This window comes from Homo sapiens, chromosome 13, assembly GCF_000001405.40.
Source record: "Homo sapiens chromosome 13, GRCh38.p14 Primary Assembly".
In the NCBI taxonomy this organism is placed as follows: Eukaryota; Metazoa; Chordata; class Mammalia; order Primates; family Hominidae; genus Homo; species Homo sapiens.
The window spans coordinates 36,979,269-36,995,235 of NC_000013.11; the positions used below are offsets into that span (position 1 = coordinate 36,979,269).

General features: G+C 39.1%; 1 protein-coding gene across 4 annotated transcripts in view; it reads right to left on the reverse strand.

Annotated features, from left to right (window-relative positions):
- Window positions 1-15,967, reverse strand: part of ALG5 (ALG5 dolichyl-phosphate beta-glucosyltransferase) — a 49,630-nt gene that overhangs the window by 29,531 nt on the left and 4,132 nt on the right. For 2 of the 4 annotated variants that reach the window (XR_007063678.1, NM_013338.5), the window contains exons 3-6: window positions 15,721-15,767; window positions 14,336-14,404; window positions 10,216-10,308; window positions 6,359-6,472 (exon numbers count right to left, since the gene is read on the reverse strand). Coding sequence is in view for 3 of the 4 variants with exons in the window: in NM_013338.5 (NP_037470.1) it covers window positions 6,359-6,472; window positions 10,216-10,308; window positions 14,336-14,404; window positions 15,721-15,767 (323 nt within the window). In the remaining variant the exon portion in view is untranslated. The remainder of the gene's footprint in view (window positions 1-6,358; window positions 6,473-10,215; window positions 10,309-14,335; window positions 14,405-15,720; window positions 15,768-15,967) is intronic. The other 2 variants (XM_047430283.1, NM_001142364.1) reach the window with 2 other exon arrangements.

The window sequence follows — 15,967 nt, forward strand, 5'->3', positions numbered from 1 at the left end:
GTATTACAGGGATGAGCCACTGTGCCCGGCCACATTTCCTCATTTTAATCACTACCTCAGAGTTATGGTGTCTAAAACAAATGACTTTGGAGGTTGAGTTCTCTTTTGGAAGCCTGCTTTTCTACCCATATATTGAGAGGGTGAAACAAACATACCAGCTTCTTAGACTTGCTCACATGGTCCACAAAAAAAGGGAGAAGGACTAACTGTCACATTCTTTTAAGGAACCAAACCATGCACGCAGATATGAATCATTGGTATACAAAACTAGAACTGGCCAAGGATTACTATATTAGAGATAGAAGAGCATTCAGGGTCATTAGTAAGCAACCCAGCACTCCAGACTGAGTTGTGCGTGTAGTTAAGATCTGCTTCCTATGGTTCTTCTTAATGTAATTTTTCTCCGTATCTTTTTCATATCCATTAATTCTAGTCATCTGTGGGCTTAAAAAACTAAAAACTCAGCTTGTTAGAGCTATGTCTAAATCAGAATTTAAGGGCCAGGCGTGGTGACTCAGCCTGTAATCCCAGCACTTTGGGGGCCAAGGAGGGCTGACTGCTTGAGGTCAGGAGTTCAAGACCAGCCTCGGCAACATGGTGAAACCTCATCTGCTAAAAATACCAAACAATTAACCAGGCATGGTGGTTTGCACATGCACTCTCAGCTACTCGGGAGGTTGACACATGAGATTTGCTTGAACCCTGGAAGCAGAGGTTGCAGTGAGCCAAGATCGCATCACTGCACTCCAGGCTGGGTGACAGAATGAGACCTTGTCTCAAAAAATAATAATAAAAAATAAATAAAATAATTTAAAACCTAAGTCACAGCCTGAGAAATGACTCTATGATCATGAAATACACACTTTTTAGCATTTATTTTGCCTGTTAGGGATTTTTGATTCTATTTAGAAAAGTTAAGCAACTGAACAAGTGATCATCATATACTTTGGGATTATTTTTTGAAAAAATTTTTTATTATTTTTTGAGACAGAGTCTCTCTCTGTTGACCAAGGTGGAGTGCAGTGGCGCAGTCCCGACTCACTGCAACCTCTGCCTCCCAGGTTCTAGTGATTCTCATGCCTCAGCTTCCCGAGTAGCTGGGCTTACAGGTGTGCGCTACGACACCTGGCTAATTTTTAGTAGAGACGGGATTTCGCTATGTTGGCCAGGCTGGTCTCATACTCCTGGCCTCAAACGATCCTCCCACCATGGCCTCTCAAAGCGCTGGGATTACAGATGTGAGCCACTGTGCCTGGCCAGCATATACTTTGCTTAGAAAAATTACTAAAAAACAAGCATATTTTTAAAAAGAGGTAGACTAACTACCAGTTAGGAAACTGAAAATCTGAGAGGAAAGCTTTGCATATTAAAAAACAAAGATGTGGGAAAAGAAAATACAAGTAAAATATAAATGAAAGTTTTGGCTGAGCGTGGTGGCCCATGCTCCTAATCCCCACAATTTGGGAGGCCGAGGCAGGCAGATCACTTGAGGCCAGGAGTTTGAGACCAGCCTGGCCAACACAGTGAAACCCCATCTCTACCAAAAAACACAAAAAATAGCCTGGCGTGGTGGTGCGTGCCTGTAATTCCAGCTACTCGGGAGGCTGAGGCACGAGAATCGCTTAAGCCCAAGAGGCAGAGGTTGCAGTGAGCTGAGATTGAGCCACTGCACTCCAACCCAGGTGACACAGGGAGACCCTGTCTCAAAAATAAAATAAAATAAAATAAAATTTTTAGTATGAAAATGTAAATGCCCTATTTTATTTGTATGTATTATACAAAGCTCTACTTAAATTATATACATGTAGTTTAAAACCTTACAGGAGCACTTATTATCAGAAAAGAAATTGTAGGCAACTTTTGTAAGATGACTTTGTATAAGAATCATCAGAACCAGAACATGTAACCTGGTTACTCTAAGAGGAAATACAAGCAAGTAGTAATAAATTTCTTTTTGTAGTCATTAAAAAAAAATCAGCTAAGAAAGAAGACATTAGAAACCACTGTAAAACGTACTAAAGAAATGACTTAAATGGTCAAAGCAATATTGTAAAAGATATTTAAGCTAATGACTGCCATCTAGTGAGACAGTCACGTAATTATAGGACTTGACTACAAAACCCACGTTCCTGTTTCATTATTTTCTGAACTATTTCAGTCGCTATTTTTATTAGGGCTTAGGGAAATACATGCAAGGCATGCTTATCAAATTTGTGGCTTAAATGAATTGAGAAAACAGCTATTGCCCTAAGATAGAACAAGAACCTACACTTTTAGACACAGAAATCTAACAAGTTGAAGTTGAGATAACTAGCCACAATTCCATTCCTGAAAACAAAGCAAAAGAACACAGAAAGAAATCCACACCAGTATAGAGATGGAGAGACAAAGTTCAAAGGCAATGAACAGGAAAAAGAGTTGGCAATACCTGTACGAAGTAACAATGTAATGTGGAAACCAAATCCACACGAACAGACACATCTTCAGTGGAAAATTATAAGAAAAAAATATGCTATGTTTAAAAACTGTAAGAACTGGGCCAGGCGCAGTGGTTCATGCCTGTAATCCCAGCACTTTTGGGAGGCCGTGGCTGGTGGATCACGAAGTCAGGAGATAGAGACCATCCTGGCTAACACGGTGAAACCCTGTCTCTACTAAAAATACAAAAAAAAATTAGCCGGGCATGGTGGCAGGCGCCTGTAGTCCCAGCTACTGGGGAGGCTGAGGCAGGAGAATGGTGTGAACCCGGGAGGCGGAGCTTGCAGTAAGCTGAGATTGCGCCACTGCACTCCAGCCTGGATGACAAAGCGAGACTCTGTCTCAAAAACAAACAAACAAACAAACAACAACAACAAAAACCGTAAGAACTGACAGCCTAAAACAGAGAATACACATGGAAAACAGCTTTGACTCTCTGAAGGGCTGTCACAAAGAAGTGGAGTAGATAATTTTGTGTAGCTACAGAAGACAGAAACAATGGAAGGGGGTGATTAAAAGGAGACATATTTGCATTTGGTGTCTAGAGGAACTTCACAGCTGAGCTGAGACAGAATGAGCTGCTTAAGCATCACTAGAGCTATGCAGTAGAGGCTGAAAGATCACTAGGTAGTTGTAAAAACTTTCCAATATTGGATAAATGATTAAATTAGATTTAAGAGTCAGCAAACTATAGCCTGTAGCCCAAATCTGATCTGCTGCTTATTTGTGTAAATAAAGGATGTATTTTATCTATGTCTACTTTCATGCTACAATAGAGCGTTGAGCAGCTGCCACAGAGGCTGACTGGCTTTAAAGCTGAAATATTTACTATATGGTCCTTTACAGAAAAAGTTCTCTAACACCTGAATTACATAAGTAAGAAGATTTCTTCTAATTTCTCTATGCATGTCAACTTCAGAATGTAAGTTTTCTGAGAGCAATGACTGGCTGTTTATAAGCTTTGTCAGAACCATATTTTTCACTGGGTGGATCCAAAAACTATGAATTTTGTAACTTTAACCACCTATCATTTATTTGCCTCCTTTCCACCTCCTGCAAAGAGTATTACATGATGCATATTAATAAAACTTACTAAATTTAATTCAAATTAATTCAATTGAGCTGGGACACTTAAATAATTAGGGATACTTTAAGGTGCTGTAAAACCAAGGCTACGAATTAATAGCTTAATGATAATCACATGCTTTAATTCTTTAAAACTTAACATTTCTAGTAACAGTGTAGTAAATGGGATTATGATAAGGAAAAAATATGGCATCAGAACTCCTTTTCTTTACAGAGTAGTATAAAGGAACTAGATTTATAAGAATAAAGTTCAGATTTTTGTTTTATTGTTTGGTTCACTCCCTAACATCAGCAAAATCATTTAAATTATCTTTGCCCTACTGCTGAATGACAAAATCAGCTGCTAAAAATCTGATGCCTTATGCCCTCCCTCCCACTGAGTGACTCCCTCTAGAAAGATAATGCAAGGGAAATATTTATCAAGTTTCTCTTGGGGTCCTCTGGAGAAAATCAGGAAATCACACCAAGTAACTTTATGAATGAGATTTTCCTTTTAGCCTATCATGATTTACTAAGATGTTGGACATGAAATACTTTTTTAGTAAGAGTGAACTACAACATATCCAACAATAAATTCATATCATGTTATAAGCCAGAGAACTTTTTGTGATGATGGAAATGCTATACAACAAGCGGGGCATGGTGGCTCACTTCTGTAGTCCCAGCTATTCAGGAAGCTGAGGCAGGAGGATGGAGTTTGAGTCCAGCCTGGGCAACACAGTAAGACCTTATCTCCTTTAAAAAAAAAAAAGGTAGCTTTTAGCAACAAGTAATTTAAATGTGGCCAATGAAACTGAGGAACTAAATTTTCATTTTATTTAAATTTAAATAGACACATGCAGCTAGTGCTACTTGTCTGAAGAGCAATGGTATGAATATCTTTACAGCTAATTCTCTTAAGAATTATATTAGTTGATTCACTTAGAATCTTAAAAAAACAAAAAACACCTAGAAAAAAACAAAAAAAACAGCTAGAAATACAAGGGATGGGGATGGATGATGGTGGGGGAGAAATATACTTCACAAAGTGTGGAATTAAATAAATATTTATTTCTAGAAGGATATGCAGTGAGTTTTTCTGTAATTATTATTAAATTTGGGGGGGCCTTATATGTTTACCTTTTTGTGTTGTTTGGTTTGGTTTTTGCTATAACAGGATCTTAATAAATATGTAATAATATTCAGTTCTAAACTAGGTCTATTTCATTCATAGATAGTTTTACATATTCATCTTATTTTGGTCTCAATTTGTTTCCTTAGTTCTGTAATTTTTTTTTTTTTTTTGAGACAGGCTCTTGCTTTGTCACTGAGGCTGGAGTGCGGTGGGGCAATCACAGCTCACTATAACCTCAAACTGCTGGGCTCAAATGATCCTCCTGCCTCAGCCTCCTAAGTAGCTGGGACTAGACGCATACACCACCACACCCTGTTAATTTTTCTCTTATTTTTACAGAGATGGGGTCTTGTTATGTTGCCCAGGCTGGGCTCAAACTCCTGGCCTCAAGTGATCTTCCTGCCCTGGCCTCCCACAGTGCTGGAATTACAGGCATGTAAACCTGGCCTGTAATTTTTCTTTTAATACCATTTTGTTGTTTTGTCATCTTACCTTTGAAGACCTGTGTTGCTAAATTCTTATTTTCATTGTTTTATTTCTTTAGCCAGAATACTTGCATGTAATTTTGTCCTTTTCCTTGGATTACACTGTCTTAAATCTTTTGTATGCAACTTTAATTCTTTTTTGTGTAATTATATGTTGGTGTGATTGCCATTTCTTTCTTTTATTTTGTCATGATTAACATGGGCAGCTCTCCTACAGTAAATGAACATTCTCCTTGATGTACCTGTATCTCTTCCCCCTCTAAACTAGAATTTCAAGGCCTGAGTATTATATCTGGACTTGAGGGTAGACGGTGGGAAGGCAGGGAGGAGGGACCCTCCCCTGGAGCTCTACGTGGCTTTGTTGGTTACTTGGGTTCCCTGGTCTTGTGAGATTTTGTCGAGTGTCTTGAACAAGGTACACTCCATCCAGGAAAGGATCTAGTCACATGGATCTGTGTCCCCAATTCAGCTTACAGTCCTGAAAAATGGCAGACCTCAGCAAGTTTTCTTGCTTCTGCTGAAATTCTGACGTATTGTGTGGTGGTAGGTATATTGTTTGACATATTGTGTGATGGTAGGTATATTGTTTGATGTTGTCCAAGGGTGCTTTTTCATTCTCTTATTCATTTTTTCCAGATTGGGAAGTATTTGGCAAACGCTCAGGATCCTGAGCGTTTGCCAAATTCATCTTATTTCTCTAAATGGCTTTTAAAAGGTAGGAATGGTACTAGGATTTTATTTCTTTCCTCAACCTCCACTTTTTGAAGTTATGGTGTGAAGTTTCAAATAATCCTTTTTGAGTGATTGCTGCTTGTGATTTTGTTTGTTTCATCAAAAACTGGATTCTGTGATCCAGCTTCATTTCACATCTTTACCTGGAATTCAGGCTATACTTTTAAATAAAAGTCTTAATTGAATATGCACAATAAATATTAAAACTTGGGTAGAAGCAATCAGAAACCAAGAGAGAGAAATGGTCACAATATTAAATAAGTAATTGTCAAGTGAATCTCATAAAATCAGACAATATTTGTAACAAAATGATCAGTTCCTCTATGGGGCTGTACCATTTGTATAAGGATTTCATACCAAAAACACTCAGTTTTTAAACTGATAGGTAAACTCTCCTTTAACTTTACTTTAGCTCTCCTGCATTCTTGACTGAATGTTATTTAAACTACATTCTTATACTCACAGGCCAAGGCTGTAGATCATTTAGCCCCTTTTCTAATTTCTCAACATCTGGAAACTTTGTGGCTCCATCAGCATCTGCCATAAGGATCTTTTCTCCTCGAGAACTGAATATACCCTGTATTTTAAAATTTCAAGTCAAAGAAAATTGGTTAAAACTCAGGTTAAATTCAATGACACTTCAGTCTGTTCTACTTAAAATACCTAAGAGTGAAAGATGAGGTATGAGATGGCTGAAGGAGGCCAGAGTTCACTGAAAACAAATTACCTGTATATTAAGATCTTCTCAAATGAACCTATTGCCTATCTTCATTATTTTAAAAACTTTGTGAAGTCATACTACAAATATCTTGGAAAATACCAAGATAATAAAATAGGTTTGGACAAATTAAAGATATTCTGCATCACAAAGAATAAAAAACGGACAGTACGTATCATACATATTATATGTTTATCGTGTCATGATGCTTAAAATGAATTACGGGCTACTTAGAACCACATATAAAGAACATGTTTATAGACAGATTAAACATTCTAATATATAGATATGCTGTGAAATGCACAGGTCTTTAGTATCATTTATTATAGGATCTAAAGTTTACTAAATTAATTAAAGAAATAAAAAGTGTCAATAAACTTTAAGAATTATGCATAAATCCAAATGTTATGTTATGCCATTTGCGGTATTTGAAACAGCAAAATTATGCCATTCAATTCTGAATTGGCTGGTCTTTTGTGCAAATTATGGCTCCATGAGTGCATATTTCATACAGAAATAAACTGCACATCAACTTTTAATTTCTCTGATGTATTTGAGTGAATTCCTTATTTCTTACGTGCAAATATATTTATGGTTTGATATAGTAAAATTGCTTTGATAACACAACATAGTGTGACTATAGGTAAGACATATACAAATGTAGAGAGAAATCAGATCATTTATTCTATGGTATAATAAGCTAACTAGTTAGTATCTGTGATGTCTTTTTAATCACACCCATTAGAACAAATGCAAAAGGCTAGGTGAGATGACTCACACCTACTACAATCCTAGCACTTTGGGAAGCTGAGGTGGAAGGATTGCTTGAGCTCAGGAGTTTGAGACCAGTCTGGGCAATACAGTGAGACTCCATCTCTACAAAAAAATTTAAAAAATTAGCCTGATATAGTGGCACATGCCTGTAGTCCCAGCTACTTGGGAGGCTGAGGTGGTAAAAAAACTGGAGCTATTAGTCTGAAATGGGGCAAAAAACCAGTAAGTGACTAATTTCAATGATGCGTGATCAAACTTGTTTAAGCCTACTTTCCTGTTCTACCGTCTATGGCCTTCACTTTGCTGCAGCTCCTTGAAAAGGCAGTCTACCATAGCAACTCCCATTTGTGTTTCCTCAGTCATATTTTATACCCATTATTTCTCATGTGCCTCACTGCCTTAAGATTTCCTGATTCTCCTTTTCTCTGTAACCTCCTCTTTGCCAGTTTAATGGCTTCAGGTTCAACTATCATCTGACATATGTGGATGACTCACTCACATCCTCTCTCCTAGGCTATTCTGGATACCACTGCATGTTGTTTCAAACTTAACATGGCTCAAACTCAACATAACTGCCTCTTATACCAGCTCCTCCTCCAGTGTTTCATTCCTTCTATTAATGGCATCGTCATCCTCCCTGTTACCCAAGGCCAGTGGTACTCATTTGACATAGTTTGGATCTGTGTCCCCTCCAAATTTCATATTGCAATGTGATCCCCAATGTTGGAGGTGGGGCCCAGTGGGAGGTGTTTGGGTCATGGGGGTGGATCCCTCATGAACAGCTTGGTGCTGTCCTTGCAATAGTGAGCAAGTTTTCATGAGATCTGGTTGTCTAAAAGTGTGTGGCACCACCGTGCCCGCTAACTTGCTCCTGTTCTCGTCATACGATGCTCCTGCTTCCACTTCGCTTTCTATCATGAGTGGAAGCTTCCTGAGGCCTTCACTAGAGGCAAATGCTGGCACCATGCTCCGTGTACAGCATGCAGAACCGTCAATCAATCACATCTCTTTTCTTTATATGTTATCCAGTCTCAGGTATTTCTTTATAGCAATGTAAGAATGGCTTAGCATGTCATTCTTCTCTCTGATCCCAGACCCAATGCTATGTCATTTTAATAGCTCTCACATTTATCCCCTCATTTTCTTCTCTTCTGTCACTATCATAATCCAAATAAATATTCATCATACCTTGCCCAATATTGCTACACTTGATGCTGGCTGATTAAAGTGTCACTCTGTCAATGGTAAAAAATGTAAAAGCCCCTCGTCTACAGTTTGTGACCTTAACTCACCCACCGCTCCAGCCTTATCTCCAGTCAAGACGTGGGTACCATGAGTGGGTCCTTTATTGTGGCATGTTCTTTCACATTGCTGTGCCTTTGTTCATGTTCCCCGTCTAGGCTCCCTGCCCTCCCAACTTGGAGGTGGTTAAGTCCTAATCCTCCTTAAAGACCCCGCCGAGAATTTGCCTCCTCTGGGACATCTGTGCTGCTGCCCTCAAAAGATGGTGGCACCAACTTTTTGCATGTACTTCTATTATAGCATTTACAACACTGTATGGCAATGGTCTGTCTCCCTACTAAACTGTGATGTCCTTAAGGACAGAATAGGTGTCTTTCATCTCAGTGTCTCTAATGAAAATACAACATTGGCTGAATAAAGAAACAAATGGATAGATTTAAAGCCCATCATGACACTGCATCAATCCTACTTTCTTTCTGTTTCATATATCCTGTGACCCAGCCAAAGTGAATCACTGTTTCTAGTACATATCCAAAGAGTTCCTACTTCTGTCTTTTCTGGCTTTACTAAATGGCGTGCTGTTTTCTCAAGTCTTTTCTCTATAGAGTTATCAGAGAGGTTAAAAGCATGGCTTTCAGAGTGAAACTAACTGCATCCAAATCTTGACTCTACCTCTTATCATCTGATAACACTGGGTAATTTACTTTACCTTCTTTACTCACTTTCCTCAACTATATAATAATCAAACTAATATTACCCAACTCATAAGACACTGTGAAGAGGGCAACATGTGATGATTTGTATCCTGACCATTTCCCTTCTCCTTCCTGTTGAATGTGGACGTGATGGCTAGTGCTCCAGGAGTCACCCTGTGTGCATGAGGAAGAAGGAGTGAAACGGCAGAAGCCTGGACTTCTGATGACTGTGGAGTTGAACAAGCCCTGGACTGCCCACCTTTAGACTTCTTTTTATGAGGGAAAAATAAATAAATGGACCTCAAAGTCAATTATTTAGGTTTTCTTTCACATATCTTGATTTTTAAACTTCCAGCTTGATTCATAGCTGATATGCCTCAGCTGACAGTAACCTCTTTTTTGAAATTTCTTAGCACTTTATCTGCATGTCTCTCATAATTATAATCTTCTTTTTTACTTATGCAAATGCTTACCTTTCCTATTAGACTGCACATTTCATCAGGACAGACCCAAGTCAAATTCATCTTAGTTCATGCTACCATGCATAACAGCATACCTTCATCAAGGTAAAACTTAATACAAAAAACATTTTTTAAACTGCAAAAAACCACATAAGCTATCTGCTAACTCTATCAAAGATACAGAGGTAGATGGTAACATTTTAAACTTTAAGATAAACATAAATACATAAATCTATTTTTAAATCACCCACTATATTATAGATATGACACATCTTAAAATTTGACTAAAAACATGAAGTTATTATTAAAATTATGTTATCACTAACTTGAAATGCTGGTATTCAAGCAGTGGGCAAACATACAAGTCTGCAAAAGACATTATTCAAGATACCTTCATATTTTAGATAAAAATGTTGAAAATATGTATTACCATTCTAATCGCTCCACCTTTTCCACGATTCTTCACCAGGGTTATCACACGTACTTTGTCACTTCCATATTTCTGGCAATATTTAAAAGCTACCTATGAAATTATATAAAAATCAGAATAAAATTAATTTGGATTAAAGAGAATTATATAAGCTGTGTTTCTTGCTTTGGCTCAAACACTGCTATTGCAGTTTATCCCTTCTTGTGACTAGGTTACACCCACTGTACATTCTGATGACCTGGAGGAGCTGTAGAAATCTTGGTGCCATTGACCTACTAGGTTGAAATCATAGTTCAGTTTCCTGCAGAGGAACCACCACAGTGGGCAATGACCTTCTTTTCTTGACTCCTCTACCTAAGCTACTGAGCTGCTAAAAAACAAACAACAACAACAACAAAAAACAACAAAAAAACCCCACAAAAGCCATGTGCTATCTGACTGGTACAAACTTATGATTGGGCCCTTAACACTGGTTAATGACTTTTGTATTTGTTCTGGTCTGCAATCGCTCTTATTCCCCAGAGAGGCTGTTTGTATCCTGACCATTTCTCCCGAATCTTTTCACTCAAATTCCTCTCTCTCAGCAGTAAATTCTCTTCTAAATCTTCAATCTCTTCCTCTCTGCTGGCTCCACAGCCTCAGACTTGCTCAAGCTGCCAGCATCCTAAAAACTTTCCTTTGACTTCACTATTTTCTCAAGCTACGGCCATTACTCTGCTTTATAATCAAAGTCGTGAGATAGTGATCTATATTTGCCACCTGCATTTCATCACCCATTTATTTTTCGGTCCACTGTAGTAGGGCTCATGCCCTTTGCTCTTCCACATCCCGTTTCCTTGTAACCTTAGCCCATCAGGTACCCTCTCCTTTGACAACCATCTCTACAGGCAGCTGTAAAGTTGCTCTCATCTGGCCTTTGCCCTCCTCTACTGTTCCCAAGTTTTCACCAATAACTCCTTTTGCTTGGCTTGCTCCTTAAATGCTGATAATCCACACAAGGACTGACTCTACACTGTACATACAGCTAATGGGAAACCCCTGGCCATCTTCTCTTCTCAACATAAAAGCTCACTGGGAGTCACTGCATGGGCTTAATTATAGCTTATATTTATGAATCTCACGTCTGTTTAGAGCCCAGACTCTTCTCTCCTGTGTCACCTAGTTATATATTGGATAAATAAAAACTCCAGAATTTCATTCATCTCCTCCTCCCAACTTCTGCTCAGTCTACATTCCTTGCTGCAGCAAATGGCATCATCATCTACTAAGTTGCTCAAATTGAAAACCTGAGAATCATCTTCCATTTCTATCACCCATTACAATTCACTGGCTACTATAACTCACTGACTGATTTGTAAAATCCCTCTCAAATCCATGCTATCCTCACACCTTCCTGACCTAGTTCAGGGCCTTATCCCCTAAAGTCCCCACATCTCTACCCTGACTCCCTAATTCATTCCTAAAGTTATACGAGTAGCCTTTCTAATATGGAAATCAGTTCACATAAGCCCTGTTCAAACACCCTCAGTGATGACTTATGGCTTCTAAGCATCACATATGAGTTCCTTATCATAGCATAGGAGATCCTTTGTGATTCAGCCTTCACCTTTTTAGCCAGCTTCTGAGGCTGCCCCATTAGTACCGTGAACATTAGCAGTATTTGAGATTTCCAGACCATACCACGGTCTTACACTTGTATGCCTTTTCTCAGAACACTGTCTTCCAGCTTCCTCACCTGTCAGGCCAGCTTAAGACTCAGCCAAACACCATTTCTCTTTTCTAGCCTCCATGCCCATCCCCACCTTCCCCCGGGAAAAAGAAAAGTATAATTCTAATAGCAATGTGTACTACTGAAGCATTTTCTCATTCAACTATTACTTTACTCATCACAATGCAACTGTAAATGTCAGCTACTTAAAGGCAAAGATTTTTATTTCTGGTATCTGGCACATAGCTGAAATCTATCAGTTTCAACCAGCAAATGCAGCCATGGTCCTGTTGTAGCACTGTTAACTAGCTGCCAAACCAGCAAACAGTGCCTCCTTCTTTGCTGTTATGGCCCCAATAATGCAGTGACAACTGTGAAGCCCTAGGGGATGAACCATGATTGGTCTAACTCCTCTTTGCTGAGTACTTTTGCAGCCTCCCTGCAGGCTTTGGTGGTCATGTCACTAAGTTCTAGCTTGTGAACTTTGGGTGTGGGCTTTAGTAGAGGGAGGGGTGAGGACTTCTGATAAAGATTTTCGTTCCTAGTTAAAAAGGAGAGATGCACGCAGAGATGATTCTTTTTTTTTGACACAGGGTCTTGCTCTGCTACCCAGGCTGGAGTTCAGTCGTGCGATCACAGCTCACTGTAACCTTGAACTCTTGCGCTCAAGCAGTCCTCCCACCCTCCCACCTTGGCCTCCCAAAGTGTTGGGATTACGGGCATGAACCACCATGCCCAGCCCAGAGATGATTCTTAAAGTCCTGGCTGTCCCTTACTACTCCAGGACATGTAATATTTGCAGCTGTGGCCATTTTGTGATGAAGGAATGCGTGAGACTGAAAATGATATGGATCTAGCAACCTGATCCTGTTTAAATGCTAAGCCAACTCTGGAATCAACTATTTCTAGACTTCCTGGCAGATGAGATAATTAAACGTCTTTATTATCTAAGCCACTCTATGATATAGTTCCTAATTGATAAAAATGTCTAACACATAGTGCTCTAATTATTTGATGCATATTTCCAGTATTATTAATAGATGTGAACTCCTTCAAGGTAGAAAGTGGTCTTTACATCTTTGTATTTTAGTGCCAGTCAGAACTCTCGACTTCTGCTTAACAGCTGAAGAAATGTGTTCAAAGAACAGTTATTTGTGCTGTAGATGTTTACTCTGGAATGGCACAATACTTGAGACTGCAAAACCAAGAAGATAAAGTCATTATATAAGTAGCTAAGTGAACTAATAAGACTTTACTATGTTAGGATGAAAAGCTCCCTCTAGAGTATGGTATCTAGCTTCAAGGAATATAACATTGTTAAAGCCACAACTGTTTGGAATGGATGCACAATGAAGCTTTACAGCATGGCCTTTAGTATACAGGGCAGCAGCTGTCACTCGGCCACCATTTGTGAACTGAGTTCCTACTGAGTGCCTACTCGCCTTTTTGGTATGTTGTTTGAGGATATAATAAACATCACTGTACAACTGCAGTATTCTCTTGTACTATACCTTGTGCCCCCTTGGTCTGAAACGCCTCAAGAACAAGAGCCGTATCTAAAATTTTCCTCACACCCCTCAGACTGTAAGACATTAACAGGGAATCTATAAATACTTAACTTAGCGAAAACTGGTTTGTTTTAAATAAAAACTTCTACTAAATATAATTTCAACTTTCTACTTCCTCCCAACCTTGGGAGCAGTGGGGCCAATTGCTAACCCCTCCCTTGCTTGTCCTCCCTGGGAGGGCATCCCTGATCCTTCCAGCAGAGCAGCTGGCCACTCACAGGTCAAGGGCCACCAAAAAAGTGCTCCTCAGGAGAAGATGCACAGCCTCAGCTGGGTCTAGGCTACCTCTATAATCTCAACAGCAAGTGTCCAATGTGGCTTTCCATGCCATTCCCTTCATGTATCACTAAACTGCTGAGATGGCTTGTGTTCATAACTTTCACATCATACTATTCAAAGTGCAGCACTTACCCTTCCTAAGCCAGATCCTGCCAATGCTCTCTGTGCATGTGAAAGGACACACCTGCTTCCCAGGGGCTGGTACGAAAGCAGCTTTCTATTGGCGTGACTGCTTTAGAAATTATAAGGCAAGATGGAGCATAAAGAAACTGTGCTTAGGGAAAAAGGAAGCACAAATTGGTAGGCAACGAAGGTTCCTACCCTAAAGGCCAGGAGGAACTGTGCGCGGGCATGTTTCTTCCCTATCTGGCGATCTTCAAAGCTTCCCTGGTCTTATGGAGAAGTTCCATAAATGAAATCTGTTTTTTCTGCTATCTAGACTATAACAATGGAGAGTGTTAGGCACAGCTTTAGGGTCCCCTGGTGAATGAAAGTGAGATTTCACATGTGCAAAATTATTCTCTATTTTCTAACTATTGTCAATTCTAAAAGCAAGTGTATTTACCTTTGAGGTCTGATCTTTACTGCCATCATCAACTACTATCACTTCATAAGTGAACGCAGGATCTCGTTTCTGCAAGAAACAAAAATAAAGTAATACAATTTGGCATAACTGCCATAAAGTATTCTAATCAAATCACCAGTAATTTAAAAAACAACTGCTTTAGTGTTGATACATATAAATTTGAATATAAATATTAGTGCACAAACCGCATAAAATAAAAAGGCTAAGTAAAAAGAGAGAGAGAGATCCTGGGTAGAGGTGGAGAGTGAATATTGACTCAATCTCTCCATGTCACCTTGCTGTTCCCCAGTCTGCCCTGTACCTTGGTGGTGGAAGAAGCCAGGTACTTGTGGTGCTATAGCACATTTGAGAGGGTACAGGTGTGTAAGAAAAAAGCTCCTGAGGTTTGAAGTCAGAGAGGGCAGATTCCAGCTTGGCTGCAGCATTTCTTAGCCTAATGACCTTGGGCAACTTAACTTTTTGGGCCTATTTTCTGATTAAAAAAAGAGAACAGAAAAACCTACTCTATGTGGCTGGTGTGAAGATTACACGTAATTGAAGAGGTAGAAGCCTCATACATATTAAAGGCTCAATTCCTTTCTTCTTTTCTCTAAATTGAATGTTTGAAGTTGGTAATAAGGTAATACAGCCCTTTCTCTTTCAGTGAATCTTCTATTTCCCCTTTATACAAAAAATCTAAAAGCAAAGTAAATCAAAACAATTTTTTTTTAAAAAGAACTCACTTAATTCTTAATCCCTCCAAGGGGATTCCAATGGCAGCTAATGTTACAAAAGAAGGTTGTGTATTACTTCTCTTCTCCTTATGTAGGGAAAACAGGAAGAAAATGTGAGGGGAGACTCTTGAGAATATTGAAGAAATACAAAATAATTTCAATGTAAGTGTGTCTTTTAAAAATATCTTTTTTCTGTTCATTCAGACTTAGTTTTTCTGTTTATTCAAACCCAGTTAACCAAAAAATAAAAAAAGAGAGAAGAGAATAAAAGTTAACAGCAAAAACAGCAACAATACACCTTTTCTTACAAGTCACAAAAGTAAAAACAGCATTGTGGCATCATACAAAGTCTGCAGACATACACTGTCACTCAATTTTAAATATATCATCAAGCAAGACAGGATTAAAATGGGTAGGAGGGTACAGAAACAGAAATTTTCGCTTCCTGGTTTGTCCTGGGTCAACGACCTGCCTCTGGAGGTAGCATGCTACGTGCCGGGCTTATGGATAGCAACAAGCAAGCAGCAGGTGGCCCAGCGATCGGGGTGCTGCCAGGACTGCCTCTCACAGTGCATCTGGCTTGGGGTCCACAATTGGTGACCTGGTCTAGTTTTAATTGGAGATATCATATTAAAAGAGAAAACATGATACCTGTCTCTTCTCTAGATAGCTCAGAGCTTCATCCATCATCACAGGCACTTGAAGAAAAAAATATATTAAAAATCACTTTTGAAAATGATTTTCCAAGCCCGGCACATTCAGCTTACATACAGAAAAAAGTCCCAATAATCTAACAAGCCCCTCTGGTACTTTCCCAATGGTCATTCCCATCTGAAATCCTGCCTTCTGTCCACAATGTGCTTATTACCTCTCTAGAACATTCCAGTCCCGCTGCCTC